General features: G+C 38.9%; 2 protein-coding genes and 1 pseudogene across 49 annotated transcripts in view; 2 read left to right on the forward strand and 1 right to left on the reverse strand.

The window, feature by feature from the left end:
• CSPP1 (centrosome and spindle pole associated protein 1) overlaps positions 1–15,105 on the forward strand; it is a 132,247-nt gene extending 117,142 nt beyond the window's left edge. For 29 of the 35 annotated variants that reach the window (XM_011517598.3, XM_047422245.1, XM_005251305.5 and 26 more), the window contains 3 exons: positions 9,141–9,250; positions 11,955–12,093; positions 13,873–15,105. In XM_011517598.3, coding sequence (XP_011515900.2) covers positions 9,141–9,250; positions 11,955–12,093; positions 13,873–14,084 — 461 coding nt within the window. In that variant the 3' untranslated portion in view covers positions 14,085–15,105. Of the gene's footprint in view, positions 1–9,140; positions 9,251–11,179; positions 11,684–11,954; positions 12,099–13,872 lie in introns of those variants that run through there. The other 6 variants (XM_047422253.1, XM_047422257.1, XM_047422254.1 and 3 more) reach the window with 3 other exon arrangements.
• Positions 1–17,734, reverse strand: part of ARFGEF1 (ARF guanine nucleotide exchange factor 1) — a 170,271-nt gene that overhangs the window by 7,999 nt on the left and 144,538 nt on the right. For 12 of the 14 annotated variants that reach the window (NR_182117.1, NM_001413185.1, NM_001413184.1 and 9 more), the window contains one exon: positions 16,149–17,589. The exons of the other annotated variants lie outside the window; for them this stretch is intronic. Coding sequence is in view for 11 of the 12 variants with exons in the window: in NM_001413185.1 (NP_001400114.1) it covers positions 17,425–17,589 (165 nt within the window). In the remaining variant the exon portion in view is untranslated. Of the gene's footprint in view, positions 1–16,148; positions 17,590–17,734 lie in introns of those variants that run through there. 14 annotated transcript variants of the gene reach the window in all.
• NPM1P44 (nucleophosmin 1 pseudogene 44) lies at positions 3,735–4,892 on the forward strand (annotated as a pseudogene).

The raw sequence follows: 17,734 nt of genomic DNA on the forward strand, positions 1-17,734 counted from the left end.
TTGGAGTATTGCATGACACTAGAGCAAAGATACAGCAGTATTTATGGTTAACAGTCACTGCAAATGCTGCATAAGTAAGTCATGGCTGTGTTAACCACTGCTCTAAGGAATGTAAAGCTGATGGTTTCAGTGCATTATTTTAAAAAATAGGGTTTTTAAAATTGTAAAATACACATAAACATAACATTTACCATTTTAACCATTTTAAAGTGTACATTGACTGGCATTAAGTATTTCTATTGTGCAACCACCACTATCATCCATCTCCAGAATTCATCTTGAAAATAGAAACTCTTCATATGAAACAGTAATTCCCCATTGCCCTCTCCCTCCAGCCCCTGGCAGCCAACATTGTACTTTCCATCTCCATAAATTTGACTACTCTAGGACCTCATGTAAGTGGAATCATACAGTATCTATCCTTTGATGACTGGCTTATTTCACTTCACATAACATCTTTGAGGTTTATCCATGTTATAGCATGTGTCAGATTTTCTTTTTTTACCCCTTAGAGACAGGGTCACCCTTGCCACCCAGGCTGGAGTGCAGTGGTGTGATCATGGCTCACTGCAGCCTTGACCTCCCTGTGCTCAGATGATTCTCCTACCTCAGCCTCCCAAGTAGCTGAGACTACAGGCACACACTACCATGCCTGAATAATTTTTGTATTTTTTGTAGAGACAGGGTTTCACCATGCTGCCCAGGTTGGTCGCGAACTCTTGAGCTTAAGTGATCCTCCTGCGGCCTCCCAAAGTGCCAAAGTGCTGAGATTACAGGTGTGAGCTACCACACCCAGCCAGATTTCCCCTTTTTTTTTTTATGCTGTGAATAATATTCCATTGTATGTGTGTACCACGTTTTGTTTATCCAATCATCTGTCAGTAGACACTTGAGTTGCTTCCACCTTTTGGCTGTTGTGAATAATGCTCCTATGAATAGGTGTACAATTATCTGTTGGAGTCACTGCTTTCAGTTCTTTTGGGTATACACTAAGAGATAGCATTTGCTAGATCATATAGTAATTCTATTTTTAATTATTTGAAGACTCACCACATTGTTTTCCACAGCAGCTGTACCATTTTACATTCCTACCAGCAGTGCACAAAAGTTCCGATTTCTCTACATCCTTAACACTTGTTACTTTGTTTTTTGAATAGTAGCAATCCTTACGGGTGTGACGTGGCATCTCATTGTGGTTTTGACTTACATTTCTGTAATAATTAGTGATGTTGGACATCTTTACATGTGCTTATTGACTAATTGTACATCATTTTTGAAGAAATACCTATTTAAGACCTTTGCTAATTTTTAAAATCAGAGTTTTTTTGTTATTGAGTTGTGGGAGTTCTTTATTATCTATTCTGGATATTACCCCTTATCAGATACATGATTTGCAAATGTTTTCTGCATAGTGGGTTGCCTTTTCACTGTGTTGATTGTGTCCTTTGATACATAGGAGCTTTTAATTTTGATACAGTCCAATTTATCTTTTCTTTTGTTGCCTGTGCTTTTGGTGTCACATCTAAGACATCGTTGCCAAATCCAATACCATGAAGCTTTCCTCATATGCTTGCTTCTAAGAGTTTTATCTATAGGTTTAGCTCTTAATGTTTAGATGCCTAACCACAGAGTGTCAAAATACATGTCAGAAAGCAAAAGAATGGCAAGGAGAAATAGATGAATCCACTGTTACAGTTGGAGATTTTTAACACCTCTCTATCAGAAATGGACAGAGACAGAAAATCAGTAAGGACGTAGTTGAGTTCAGCAACACCATCAACCAACTGGATATAATGGATGTCGAAAGACAACTTCATTAACAACAGCAGAACCCATATTCTTCTCAGGGTCACATGGAACATTCACCAGGACAGATTACAATCTGGGCAAGAAAACAAACCTTAACAGATGTAAAAGAAGATAAATCACACAATATCTGTCCCCAGACCACAATGGAAATAAACTAGAAATCAATAACAGAAAGATAGCTGGAAAAATCTCCAAATACTTTGGAGATTAAATGCCACATTTCTAAATAACGCATAGGTCAGAGAAAAAATATGAAAATACATTTTAAAATACTTTGATCTAAATGAAAATGAAAATACAACTTCTCAATTTGTAGGAGGTAGCAGAAATAATGCTTGTCTTTCTTTCTACTTTCCTAATGTATGCATTCAGTTAAATGTAAAATGCCAAACTCTAAAACTCACAGAAGATACCAACAGAAAATCTAGACGACCTTGGATATGGTGATGACTTTTAGATAAAAAACCAAAGCCACAATTTATGAAAGAAATAATTGATAAGCCAGACTATGTAAAAAATTGGGAATTTTTTTTTTTTTTTTTTTTTTTTTTTTAGACAAAGTCTTGCTGTTGTCCCCAGGCTGGAGCGTGATGGCGTGATCTTGGCTCACTGCAACCTCCGCCTCCCGGGTTCAAGCGATTCTCCTGACTCAGTCTCCCAAGTAGTTGGGATTACAGGCGCCTGCCACCACGCCTGGCTAATTTTTGTATTTTTAGTAGAGACGGGGTTTCACCGTGTTGGCCAGGCTGGTCTCGAACTCCTGACCTCAGGTGATCCCCCGGCCTTGGCCTCCCAAAGTGCTGGGATTATAGGCGTGAGCCACTGCGCCCGGCCAAAAATTGGTAAATTTTTAAGGTGCTTAAATTTATAGGATTGACTGTGCATACATGAAGAAAGTAGAAAGATCTAAAATCAGTATTCTAAGCTTCCACATAAGAAAATTAGAAAATAATTAAATCCAAAGTAAGCAGAAGAAGAGAAATAAAAATTGGAGCAGAAATCAATGAAATTGAAAACAGGAAATAAATAGAGAAAATCAATGAAACCAAGAGTTATTTCTGAGAAGATCAGTAAGCCTCTAGCCAAGCTAATAAAAGAGAAGACACAAATTACTAATACCAGAAACAGGGCATATCTAGCTGGGCATGGTGGCTCACACCTGTAATCCCAGTACTTTGGGAGGCTGAGGTGGGCGGATCACCTGAAGTCAGGAGTTCAAGACCAGCCTGGTCAACATCTCTACTAAAAATATAAAGATTAGCTGGGCATGGTGGTGTGTGCCTGTAGTCCCAGCTATCTGGGAGGCTGAGGCAGGAGAATCACTTGAACCAGGAGGTGGAGGTTACAGTGAGCTGAAATCGTGCCACTGCACTCCAGCCTGCATGACAGAGTGAGATTCTGTCTAAAAAAATAATAATAAAAAAATATAATAATAATAATAATAATAATAAAGGTTGGGGGGCATATCACTACAGGTCCCATGAACGTTAAAAACAGTCGGCCGGGCACGGTGGCTCAAGCCTGTAATCCCAGCACTTTGGGAGGCCGAGGAGGGCGGATCACAAGGTCAGGAGATTGAGACCATCCTGGCTAACACGGTGAAATCATGTCTCTACTAAAAATACAAAAAAAAAAAAAAAAAAAAAAAGGTGGTGGGCACCTATAAGTCCCAGCTGCTCGGGAGGCTGAGGCAGGAGAATGGCGTGAACCCGGGAGGCGGAGCTTGCAGTGAGCTGAGATCGCACCACTGCACTCCAGCCTGGGCGACAGAGCAAGACTCCGTCTCAAAAAAAAAAAAACAAAAACAAACAAACAAACAAACAAAAAACACAACATAGTCCAAGAGCCTGGTGTGATTCCGTTCTGCATGGCTGTTCTCTTGAGAAGTGGTTGTTTATCTCCGTCCACCTTCTTTCCCACCTAAGTGCATGCCACCAGCCAATGGAAGATTTGATGAGCCCTGAGGCCCCAGAACTATCTTTTCGGTTGTGAACTAAAGGCCGACAAAGATTATCACTTTAAGATGGATAATGATGAAAATGAGCACCAGTTATCTTAAAGAACGTTCAGTTTAGGGGCTGGTGCTGGTGCAAAGGATGAATTGCACATTATTGAAGCAGAGGCAATGAATTACAAAGGCAGTCCAATTAAAGTAACACTGGCAACTTTGAAAATGTACAGCCAATGGTTTCCCTTGGGGGCTTTGAAATAACATCACCAGTGGTCTGTCGGTTGATGTGTGCTTCAGGGCCAGTGCATATTAGTTGACAGCAATTAGTAGCTGTGGAGGAAGATGCAGAGTCAGAAGATGAAGAGGAGGATGTGAAACTCTTGAAGTATATCTGGAAAGCAGTCTACCCCTGGAGGTGGTAGCAAGGTTCCAAAGAAAAAAGTAAAACTTGCTGCTGCTGAAGATGATGAAGATGATGATGATGAGTTTGATGATGAGGAAGCTGAAGAAAAAGCACCAGTGAAGAAATCTATACAAGATACTCCAGCCAGAAATGCATAAAAGTCAAATCAGAATGGAAAAGACTCAAAAGCATCATCAACACCAAGATCAAAAGGACAAGAATCCTTCAAAAAAACAGGAAAAAACTCCTAAAACACCAAAAGGACCTAGTTCTGTAGGTCCTTTGCACTTAAAGCAAAAATGCAAGCAAGTATAGGAAAAGGTGGTTCTCTTCCCAAAGTAGAAGCCAAGTTCATTAATTATGTGAAGAATTGCTTCTGGATGATTGATCAGGAGGCTATTCAAGATCTCTGGCAGTGGAGGAAGTCTCTTTAGGAAAATAGTTTAAACAATTTGTTAAAAATTTTCCATCATTTCATTTCTGTAACAGTTGATATCTGGCTGTCCTTTTTATAATGCAGAGTGAGAACTTTCCCTACTGTGTTTGATAAATGTTGTCCAGGTTCCATTGCCAAGAATGTGTTGTCCAAAATACCTGTTTAGTTTTTAAAGATGCAACTCCACCCTTTGCTTGGTTTTAAATATGTATGGAATGTTATGATAGGCCATAGTAGTAGTGGTGGTCAGACATGGAAATGGTGGGGAGACAAAAATATACATGTGAAATAAACCTCACTGTTTTAAATTAAAAAAAAAAAAAAAAAGTCCAAGAATACCATGAACAACTCTATGCCCACAAATCTGATAACCTAAAGTCTACCACCCATTTATGGTAACTCAGCAAACTTGGAATAGAGGGGGAACTTCTGCAACTTGATAAAGAACATCTACAAAAGTCCTACAGCTAACATCATAATGATGAGAAACTAGAAGCTTTCCTGCTAAGATCAGGATGTCCTTTCTCACCACTGATTAACATCATACTGGAAGTCCTAGCTTAATATTAGCAGTAAGGCAGAAAAGGAAATAAAAGGTGTGATTGGAAAGGGAGAAATAGAATTGTTTTTCTTCACAGATGACATGATTGTCTATAGAAAATCTGAAGGAATCAACTAAAAAATGCCTGGAACTAGTAAGCAGTTATAATCAAGTTGTGGGATACAAGATGAATATATAAAAGTCAGTCACTTTACAATATGCCAGCAATGTACAAGTGAAATTTGAAATTAAAAATTAAAAACACAATACCACTTACATTAGCATTCCCCCAAGGAATACTGAGGTATAAATCTATCTATCATCTATCTATCTATCTATCTATCTATCTATCTATCTATCTATCTAATCTATCTATCTAGAACTGCCTGAGGAAAACTACAAAACTGATGAAATTGAAGGACTACTAAATAAATGGAGATATATTTCATGACCATGCACAGGATGACTCAGTATTGTCAAGATGTCAGGTCTTCTCAACTTGATCTATAGATTCAGTACAATCCCAATAAAAATCCCAGCAAGTTATTATGTGGATAACAACAAACTGATTCTAAAGTTCATTTGGAAAGGCAAAAGATCCAGAATAGCCAGCACAATGTTTAAAGAGAAGAGTTGGAGGACTCTCACAGCTGACTTCAAGAGTTATGATAAAGTTATAATAAACAAGACAGTGTGGCATTGGTGAAAGAACAGACAAATAGACCAGTTGAATGGAATATGGAGCCCAGAAATAGACTCATGCAGCCTGGGCACAGTGGCTCACACCTGTAGTTCTGGAACTTTGGGAGGCTACTTGAGGCCAGGAGTTTGAGACCAGCCTGGGCAACAAAACAACACCTTGTCTCTACAAAAAAAATATTTTAAATTAGCCGATGTGGTGGCACACACCTGAAGTCCTAGCTATTTGGGAGGCTGAGGTGGGAGGATTACTTGAGCCTGGAAGTTCAAGGCTGCCGTGAGCTATGATCACGCCACTAAACTCCAGCCTGGGCAACAAAGAAAGACCTTGTCTCAAAAAAAGAAAGAAATAGACTCACGCAAATACAGTCAGCTGATCTCTGACAGAGGACCAAAGGCAGTACTGACAAAGGACCAAAGGCAGTATTATGATGGAGAAAAGATAGTCTTCTCTACAAATAATGCTGGGACAACAGGACATCTGCATGTGAAAAAATAAACATAGATCTTACGCCCTTCACAAAAATTAACTCAAAGTCGATCTTACATCTAAATGTAAAATGCTAAATTGTAAAACTCATAGATGATAACAACAGAAAATCTAGATGACCTTGGGTATGGTGATGACTTTTAGATACAAAACCAAAGGCACAATTCATAAAAGAAATAATTGATAAGCCGGACTTTGTAAAAATTTAAAACCTGCTCTGCTCTATAAAAGACACTGTTAATTAAGAGAATGAGAAGACAGGACAGAGACTGTAAGAAATTATTTGCAAAAGACATGTCAGATAAAGGACTGTTATCCAAAATACACAAAGAAATCTTAAAACTCAACAATAAGAAAACAAAATACCTGATTAAAAGATTCAGCAAGACTTGCACCACACATCACCATACAGATAACAAGACAAAGGATGCTACTGAGAGACAGGACTAGCTGGATTTCAAATCTAGGCCGACTAAGAATTCCTAAGCCTAGCTGGGAAGGTGACTGCACCCACCTTTAAACACAGGGCTTGTAACTCAGCTCACACCCAACCAATCAGGTAGTAAAGAGGGCTCACTAAAATACAAATTAGGCTAAAGCAGGAGGTAAAGAAATAGTGAAATCATATATCGCCTGAGAGCACAGGGGGAGGGACAATGATCGGGATATAAACCCCAGGCATTTGAGCTGGGAGTGGCAACCCGTTTTGGGTCCCCTCCCATTGTATGGGAACTCTATTTTCATTCTATTAAATCTTGGAACTGCATGCTCTTCTGGTCCATGTTTGTTACGGCTCGAGCTGAGCTTTCGCTTGCTGTCCACCAGTGCTGTTTGCCGCCGTTGCAGACCTGCCACTGACTTCCACCCCTCCGGATCTGGCAGGATGTCCTCTACACTTCTGATCCAGCGGGGTGGCACCCACTGCTGCTCCCAATCAGGCTAAAGGCTTGCCATTGTTCCTGCACGGCTAAGTGCCCGGGTTTGTCCTAATCGAGCTGAACACTAGTCACTGGGTTCCACGGTTCTCTTCTGTGACCCACGGCTTCTAATAGAGCTTTAACATTCACCGCATGGCCCAAGATTCCATTCCTTGGAATCTGTGAGGCCAAGAACCCCAGGTCAGAGAACAAGAGGCTTGCCGCCATCTTGGAAGCGGCCCTCCACCATCTTGGGAGTTCTAAGAACAAGGACCCGCCTGGTAACACATTAAAGAATGTAAATTAAAATGAGATACCACCACATACCTGCTAGAATGGCCAGCATTCAAAACACTGACACCAAATGCTGGCAAGGTTATGGAGCAATAGGAACTCTCATTCATTGCTGGTGGGCATGCAAAATTGTAGTCAATTTTGGAAGACAGTATGGCAGCTTCTTACAAAAATAAGCATATTCTTACCATACAGTTCAGCGTATACACTCCTTGGTATTTGCCTAAGGGAGCTGAAAACTTGTCCATAAAGAAACTGGCACACAGATACTTATAGCACCTTTATTCATAATTGCTAAAACTTGGAAGCAGCCAAGATGTCTTTCAGTAGGTGAATGGATAAAGTGTGGTACATCCAGACAATGCAATATTTTTCAGCACTAAAACAAAATGAGCTACTAAACCATGAAAAGGCATGGAAGGACCCAAAACTTATTTTAGAATTATAGAAAGCCCCATATCTTATTCAATAAAAGTTATTCCTATTTTTAAAAACCCATACAGTATACATTTGGAAAATCTGAATATCAATTATATGTTAAACAATGATAGTGTTGTATAAATGTTAAATTTTCTGAATGTTATAATTAGATTTTTGCAGTGTAGGAGCCAGTCCTTGTTCTTATGAGGATAAACACTGAAATATTGAGAGACAAAATGCCATGATGTCACCAACTTATTGGTGTAGCAAAGAGGCTTGGCAATAACATCATCCCCCCAAATATATATAGAAATTGGCAAAGTAACTAATGGTGATTCTAAGTATTTGTATTATTCTAACTTTTCTTTAGGTATAATTTTTTTCAAAGGAGTTGCGGAGGTTACCGTAGATGTTGTAGGCTATTTGTCCATGTCAAATTAGCTACCGATCCACTAGAATGATTATAAGCAAAAAGACCGACAATACCAAGTGTTGGTGAGGATGTGGGGAAATTGGAACCCTCTTACAATGTAAAATGTAAACAGGTTGGTAGTTCCTCAAAATGCAGAGTAGAGTTAACCATAATACCCAGCAATTTCATTTCTGGTTCTATAACCCAAAGAAATGAGAAGATATGTCCACACACAAAAACTTGAATGTGAATGTTCATAGCAGTGTTATTCATAATTGCTAGCAGCTAGCAAATGTCCATCTACTGGTAAATGCATAGACAAAATATGACGTATCCATATGATGGAGTATTATTCAGCAGTAAAATGTAATAAACAACTTAAACATGGCACAGCATAGATGAATCTCAAACACCTTATTGCTAAGTGAAAAGACAAAAGATTAAGTTGTAGAATTCCATTTATGTTTGGTGTTAGGTAAGGTAAATCTGTTGAAACAGAGCCGTGTTTGCCCGGGGCCAGCAGGTGGGGAGTGATTGCCAGTGTGCACAAAGGAGCTGTTTAAGGTGATGAAAATGTTCTACTTTAAAGTGATGATTGTACAACTCTGTAAATTTACTAAAAAAATCACCGAACTGTGTATGTACATACATTGAGTGTGTTTCATGGTATTGTAAGCAAAATCTTAGTAATTAAAAGGCTCTTGGTTTAGCTCTGGGTAAGATTTGAAGCAGTATTAAGACTCCTTCTGCTTTTCGGGGTCCTCTTAGGGGCTTACGGTGAGACATATCCTGCCATTGAAGATGACGTCCTCCCTCCACCATCACAGTTGCCCTCTGCACGGGAGCGCAGGAGGAACAAATGGAAAGGACTAGACATTGTATGTATGAGACTTTTCTCCCCCTTTTCAACTTAGAAGAATGAGAGGTCTGGGTTCTGACCTGTGCTAAATCTGTGTGGCCCAATAAAGAGCACTTGCTTGAAATTCAGACATGGGTCTGAATCTAGGCTCTGCCTTGACTGGATGACCTTGGGTAGCTATTGAATTCTGCTGCTTTGGCTTCTTCCAGATAATAATAGTATTTTCTTGTCTCCTGGGGTGGCTGTAAGTAGCTCCTCATCCCAACCTTCCTTCTTCTCCTGCAGAATATATGGATTTCAGAGAGGCACAAGAAGGAACTGATGTCATTTATTGAAAAGCTTCATAATAACCTAATTCTGTGATATAGGCATCACCTTCATTTCGGTCAAATGACTTGCCAAGGTCACATGGGCAAGAAGGCTGAGATTCAAACCCATGTTCTCCTCACTCTGCTCCCCAGCTTTACAATATAGCCAGTAAAAAGTAGAGGCTTTGGAGTTTATGTCCCAGCAATGTCACCTCCTTGTTGAGTAGGCAGCTTGGGCAATTTCTTAAACTCTGTGTGTGTTTCCTTATATATGACGTGAAGATGCAGTTATATGTGAAGCATTTAGCACTGAGCCAAGTATGCAGAGACCTCACCAAGTAACAGATGTTGCTATTAGCGTTATTATATGTACAGCATTACCAGGTGAAAATAGCTTTGCTTTTTGCCTTAGGCAACCACCAGTCTACTTTGGTTTCTATAGATGTGCCTTTTCTGGACATTTCGTATAAATGAGATCATACACTGTATGATTATTTGTGACTGGATTTGTCTTTCTTTTGAAGGTCATTCATGTTGTAGCATGTGCCAGTACTGAAGCCTCTTTAGTGTTGAATAATTTTCCACTGTATTAGTATCCCACATTTTGTTTATCCATTTAACAATAGATATTTGGGTTGTTTTCACTTTTTAGCTAGTATGGATACTATTAATGTTCATGTAGAAGTTTCTGATGTTTTTATTACTCTCGAATATATATACCTAGAAGGAAATTGTTGGGTTATATGGACACTTTGTATTTAGCATTTTGAGGAAGTACCAGACTTTTCCAAAGTGGCTGTACCATTTTACCTTCCCATCATCCACTGAGGGTTGTAATTTCTGTATATCCTGGCCATCACTTAGTGTCTTTTGATTTTAGCCATCTATTGAGTGTAAAGTGGTGTCATGGTGGTTTTGAGTTGCATTTCTGTAATGATATTGAACATCTTTTCATGGTTTATTAGCCAGTTGTATATTTTCTTAGGAGATATGTCTATTCAAATCCTTTGCTGATTTGTTTTTTTTTTTGTTTTTTTTTTTTGATACAGAGTCCTGCTCTGTCACCTAGGCTGGATTGCAGTGGCGTGATCTCAGTGCACTGCACCCTCTGCCCCAGTGGGGTTCAAGGGATTCTCCTGCCTCAGCCTCCCAAGTAGCTGGGATTACAGGTGCATGCCAACACGCCTGGCTAAGTTTTGTATTTTTAGTAGAGTTGGGGTTTCGCCATGTTGGCCAGGCTGGTCTTGAACTCCTAACCTCGGGTGATCCACCTGCCTCGGCCTCCCAGAGTGCTAGGATTACAGGCATGAGCCACCGCGCCCAGCCCTTTGTCCATTTTCAAATTGAATTGTCTTTTTATTGAGTTGTAAGAGTTCTTTTACATTCTCACTACAAGTCTAGTTATCAATGTGTGATTTTCAGATCTTTTTTCCCATTCTGTATCTTTTTAACTTTCTTGATGGTGTTCTTTGAAGCACAGAAGTTTTTAATTTTGATGAGGTCCAACTCATCACTCTTTCTTGGGCTTTTGGTGTCTTAATTAAGAAACCATTGCCAACCACAAGATCATGAAGATTTACTTGTTTTCTTTCAGTTTGTTCTTAATTGTAGGTCCATGATACACTTTAATTTTTGCACAGGGTGTGAGGTGCAGGGGTCCAAGTCCATTCTTTTGCATGTGGCCATCCAGTTGTTCTAGCAGCATTTGTTTAAAGACTGTTCTCCCACTGCATTTTGTTAACTCCGTCCATAAACGTAAGGATTTATTTCTATATTCTTCTTAATCTTCCATTGATCTACATGTCTTTTCTTATGTCAGTACCACACTGTCTTGATTATAGCTGGACTAAGCCCCTGCTGCTTCAGTTTTTTCCTTTTGTGTCCTATAATTCTCAAGCTTTATCCTGACTGGCAGCATTTCTGTCATCACAAATGTTACTCCTTATCCTTGAGAGTCATCTGAGCTTGCATGGATAAGCATAGGAGCCATAATATACGTGCTCTATATTTTCATGTTTTATTTTGTTCATCACAGTGTACATTTGAGGGCAAGAGGATGTTTTGATTTGCTGGTTTTTTTCTTTTTTTTTGAGATAGAGTCTCTGTCTCCCAGGCTGGAGTCCAGTGGCACAATCTCAGCTCACTGCAGCCTCCACCTCCTGCCTCAGCCACCCAAGTAGCCGGGGACTACAGGCGCCTGCCACCATGCCCAGCTAATTTGTATTTTTAGTAGAGATGGGGTTTCACCATGTTTGCCAGGCTGGTCTTGAACTCCTGACTTCAGGTGATCTGCCCACCTCGGCTTCCCAAAGTGCTGGGATCACAGGTGATAGGCACCATGCCTGGCCCTGATTCACTGATTTGTGAACATATTTTGTGTTAATGACTTTCTGAAGTTCTGTTTTCTAACTACAGGATAGCAGTCGTCCTAATGTAGCACCAGATGGTCTCTCTCTAAAATCTATATCCAGTGTAAATGTTGATGAGCTTAGAGTGAGAAATGAGGAACGAATGCGAAGACTGAATGAATTTCACAATAAACCTATTAATACAGGTAAATGACCAAGTGTAATGGCCTATAGTAGAATCCTGTATGAACTTTTAAACTTTCTTACTCAAGGCTTTCACTAACGTCTGAGGGATAGATGGAATGAGTTTGAAGACCTTTGAGTTGTATGGCCCAAGACATAGTAACTATTGAGCAAAACCAGACCTCAGGATGCAGTTTGCATCAGATTTTCTCTATCAGAGAGGGTGCCCATTTTAGAGTGGAGTCTAAACAGGTAAAATAGTTTTTGCTTATTAAACATATCCAGGCTTTGCTTTCAGCAAAGAAAATGCTATATGATAATAGTAATCACTTTACTAAAGTAAAACATTATTAGAAATTAGCCTAAAGACTTTGAGTTCTTTAACACTTATGCTGTATATTTGCAGTACTACAAAGAAAATTTTTACCTTCTTCTTTGGCTTTCCACACCATGGACAAAGTCTCAGAAGTCAAATAAAGCTAGTCGTCTCCTCATTATGAGTGCATTTTTGTGACTTGCAGGTTAAAGCTAGTCATAGAGCACAAGGCAGGATGGTTCCTTAGACACCTAACAAGCTACCCTGCCAGCCCTACACCACCCTTTTCTATACCAGTGCTATTAGTCACCGGGATAATGGGACACTTTCATATTGGTAATAATAATAGTTTTAGCAAATTACTGGAGTGGTCTATTTGGGAAATACTCTTTAGTCTGTTAATCTACATTACAATAATCTGTTAAGATTTTTTTAGATCCTACCTTTAATACTGTGTTAATTTAAAACTGTACTCATATACTATCTATCTAGCAGTCAAGGTGTGGTGTGTTCTAATGGTGGTAATTCCACACCAAACACAAAGCAGACATGGTTAATTGATGGGACAGTAGGAAAGGATGTCTTTCCAGCTATAAGGCATTTTCTTTTAGACCCAACAAACTGAATTAATATTTAACAGGAATATATTTGAGGGAAGATAGCATTTTAAGAATCTTTTTCAGAAGGTTTTTAATGTCTACACTGTTTTTTAACATTGTCCTTTCAAACAGGAGCTTTTTGTTATTATGTGGATTGACTGCACATACCAATCCTTCACAGACCAGGAGAATTAAAAAAAAAAAAAAGAATATGATATCACAGGGTAGGAAGACAGATTTTCCTATTATTATACCTAATAATAAATAAAAGTAAAATACAGATAGAAGTTGCGTACAATCAATCAGATTCAATTAAAGAATGAAGCAAGAGCTACCTCTTCATTGACTGGACACGGCCTTGTTAGATTAGGTGTTTTAAGAATGGAAGTAATCTCATGCCAACTAGTGTTTTCCCAAAATAACTTAATAATTTCCTTATAGCAGTGTTGTAGGTTGAAGAGTATTCCCCAAACCTTGCTTTAAAAAAAATAAAAAGAAAAAAGAAAGAAATTTTATGTGTAGCCATTAGGCTTCTCCTGAGGTAACAGTTACAAAATAAGACTACCTACATTCCTCCTGTTGACTTTGTTTTATGGAGAGGTGCCTTTGATATGCTTAGAATCCCTCTGGTTGCTAGTGCCATGGAGTCAGCTTACTCAGTTGATCATTTTTTGTTTTACAAAATTGGCCTTTGTGGGCCCACTCTCCTCCCTCTAAAATAGGGTGGGGTGGGGTGAGTCTAACCAAAACAAACAAACAGTAGAGTTCAGGATATGAGACTGTGGGGAAATGCTGAGTTGTAATGAGTTGGACTACAAGAGACCTGCGCTTATGTCTCCTGCCTGCCACCTGTGTTACCTGAGCCACGTGTCCCTTGCCTCCTGTAGATGATGAGAGTTCACTGGTTGACCCTGATGACATCATGAAACACATAGGGGATGACGGATCAAACTCTGTAGCAACTGAGCCCTGGCTCCGCCCTGGCACTTCAGAAACGCTGAAACGTTTCATGGCAGAGCAGCTGAACCAGGAGCAGCAGCAGATTCCTGGAAAACCAGGCACTTTCACTTGGCAGGGCCTGTCGACTGCACATGGTTAAAATAAACCTGTACTGGACCCAGTAGTGCCTTTTAAGGTGAAAGGAATGGTAAATCTGTACCTTTAATATGTCCTACTTTTGGCCCCTACCTGAAAGTTACTTTTTTTCCATCATCTGTATATAAAATTATTTTTATCATGATGTATATTATGTACATAAATAAAAGGCCATGATTATTGATTTATATAATAGAATTGTATAGATTATTTTTGCACAGTTTTGTCATAAATTAGGGTGGTAATGAACTGGATTGAACTACTATATGTGCATTATATTGAATTCTGCTTGTCATTAAGATAAGGTGAATAAGTGTCTTAAACGTCCTGTAAAACCGGACTCCCCTTTGTTACATGCACATTTTCCATTGTTACCTCGATGCAAAAGAATTCATTTAGTAGGTACATCTATTGTAGCTGTGATTATTCCAGTTTCTGTGTGATGCAATCAAATGTCCTATTAATTAATTATTATTTCATGTCATTTGTAGCTACTGATACAGCAGAAATGAAGGGAACTGTAATTACTTGTATTTTTGTAAGCCATACGTTAAATGTTTGTTACATCATCTTTCTGCTTCTATTTTTATGCCAATGAAGGCATTTGTCTTGTTACTAATTACATGATGTAACTACTTCTTGATATAAATAAATTTTTATTTTAATTACTAAAATCTTTTTAACTACTATGGAGCTTTCTAGACTAGTTTTCTAGAGGTTGAATAGAGGTGGGGACACCCGGGAGTCAAGGACAGAGAGACTGGAGTCTTCTTCTTCCACCATGGAACCTTGGATAAGTGAGTCCATGTGAGTTTTCTAATCACTCAGTAAGTGATACTTCTAAAAAAGGAAAGAGTCATTCAAATAATTGTGACATTCTGACTCAGATTAGAATCTCAGAACCATGACAGCTGAGAACATCCCCAGGCACTGCTTCTCTCTCTAATAATACTTCCTCTGATGTAATTAACGGTTGGTAGACAATATCAGACAAATTTGCCACAATTAAATTACTGATATTTTGAGTTTTGGCTACTTGTAAATTTTTATTTGATTTTCTAATCGGACCATTGTTTGTTTGCTTTACTCGTAAAAATTTGTTCTGTTGTCATCTGAAAGTAAGAAGAAAGCCTCTGACTCTTCTAGGGGAAGAGTCCTGATACTACAACATTAAAATAATCAACTGCCAGGTTGTGTGGAGCACTTACCCTCACACGGCAAGGTCACAGTGGCTCGCAGTTCTAGCATCCAGCTGGGCTTGAACACAGCTAGAGCTGTCTTGGGTGTAACAAATACAGCACACTTACTTACAAATGCATTGTTCAGTAACTGTTCATTATCTAAGAGAGGTGTGAAAGCAAAGACTGAATACTTTTCCTCTTTAACACAACCATGTTAGATGATATTGACACGTTCCCTTTTTGTTTAATGCCATGTACCACACAACTTCAACTGACTCCTCGAACACACAATATTGCAAACTGTGCTGAAGAGAACTTTAGCTCTTTTCAGCATTCAAGTAGTGTAGCCTGATGCTAGGTTATTAATATGCAAAAAATATTAAAAGATTTTTGGGCTGGATATGGTGGCTCATGCCTATAATCCCAGCACTTTGTGAGGCTGAGTTGGGAGGATCACTTCAGGTCCAAGAGTTTGAGACCAGCCTGGGCAATATAGTGAGATCCCATCTCTAAAAAAAAAAAATTTTTTTTTAATTAGGCAAGTGTAGTGGTGTGTGCCTACAGTCCTCACTACTGGGGAGGGTGGAGTGTGAGAATCGTGAGCCCAGTTTGAGGCTACAGTGAGCTGTGCTCATACCACTGCACTCCAGCCTGGACAACAGAGTGAGATCCGGTCTCTAAAAGATAAATAAAAATTTTAAAAATTGCCTTAAAAATAAGTATCCTATGGTAAGTACAGTGTAAGGAGGATCTAATGCTAGAAGCTGGAAAGAAAATACCAGAACCAAACAATATTGAATTTGTAGTTCTGGCTGAAAATGTCTTTTCCATAGTTGTTCAGCCTTAATAGACCAGAATCAATGAAACATGGGGGTGGGTTATACAGGTTTTGATTGCACTGATGAAATAATTCAAAAACTTTATTGACCTATAACCTGATTAGAATATGCCAGATGGGAATCAATATTGTACAGAAAGTTGTACAGAATTTTTTACATAGAAAACTTTACATCTGTACCATATACATTTTGTCCATCTGAAAAAATTTTCTACATCCACTGTTAATACGGAATGCTTGACAATCTTGTCTTTTAACCATCAGAGCACAATTCACAGTATGAATACATTTCCAGTAAATCTAACCTCCGCAAACCATGCCAGATTTGTTATTTTAATATATTCAACGTTAAATTCTGTACATAGAGTAAAATCTACATCAAGCCCCACCACCCAAAAGAAAAGAAAATGACAGCAATCTGGATTCATTTTGCAGTGATTCAAGTTTTGGTCCATAAAGGATCATTCTATTTTAATGGCTCATCTTTAAAAGTCCTAAGAGAAATATGTGACAGGTAGTTACTGTCAGTAGGGATATTTTCTACCTTTTTTTCCCTATTGTTGAAGTGTCGGCCACAACAGCTTCTGGGCATGTTACAGCCTCAAAATCACCACCTACCAAAAAGGGCAAAACTAAAAATCCCTATAAAATAAAAAAGAAAGTTCCACCCAAATGTTTAGTGCATTTGACAAAATATTATGGGTATTTAGCAAATGAATAAGAAAATAAAGAAAACAGTGCAGGAAGAACTATATAATGTTTTAAGATTTTTATATTACAGACCTGCATCTCTGTACATTTTTCACAGGATGATTACCAGTATCTCAGATAGCCTGAGTGTGCAAAAATCTTCAGAATAAGAATACCATAGTTGCTAAATATCTTTTACCATGAACAATAATTTCTTCTTCTCTCCCCACTCCCCAATTATAAACATTTTATCCTTCAAAATACAGCTCTCCTGAGTTGTACTTCTTGTAGAAGTTCAATCTTTACATCTATAGTTCTTTGGGTAAGTTTCACTTCCACACCTGCCAAAAACGTGGGGCTTTTCCTGCCGTGGAAGACAGGGAAGGACCCGTGAGCATGAGCTGACACTGTTTAAACAGGCTTTCTGCTCAACATGAGGCCAATATAACACACAAAATCCACCAGCACTAAAAGGGACTGGAGTGTTGCAAGTTTGAGTAAGACTTCTAAGCATCTTTACCAGTAACTCAGACACTGCAATCCAGAGAAATCATTTTTCAGGTAGGAAACCTCAGCTCCAGCGTCCTTTTAAAGAGCAGAGGGATGTAAATGCCAACAAAAATATTAAGTTCCCATCATTGCTTGTTTATTCCAAGTTCCTGTTCAGGTGGTTGTGATATCTGAAAAACTACTCCGATTCGCAGAAAAAATCTTCTAAGAACAGCACGAAGTTCAGGAATCAAGTCAAATTGCATAATTTCACATAAGAGAGGGTAGTAGAATGATGCATGAGCTTTAAACTGCAGGGAAAATGAATTTCTCCATTAGTAGTGATTGCAAACTGCAGAGCCTTAAACTGCCTAGAGTCAAACTACTCTGGGGCTCCATCACAGGAGCCAGGAAAGCAGGGTCCACAGCAGGCAGTGACTCTGGTTTGTGGAACTG

Source organism: Homo sapiens, chromosome 8 (genome assembly GCF_000001405.40).
Source record: "Homo sapiens chromosome 8, GRCh38.p14 Primary Assembly".
NCBI classification, from domain to species: domain Eukaryota; kingdom Metazoa; phylum Chordata; class Mammalia; order Primates; family Hominidae; genus Homo; species Homo sapiens.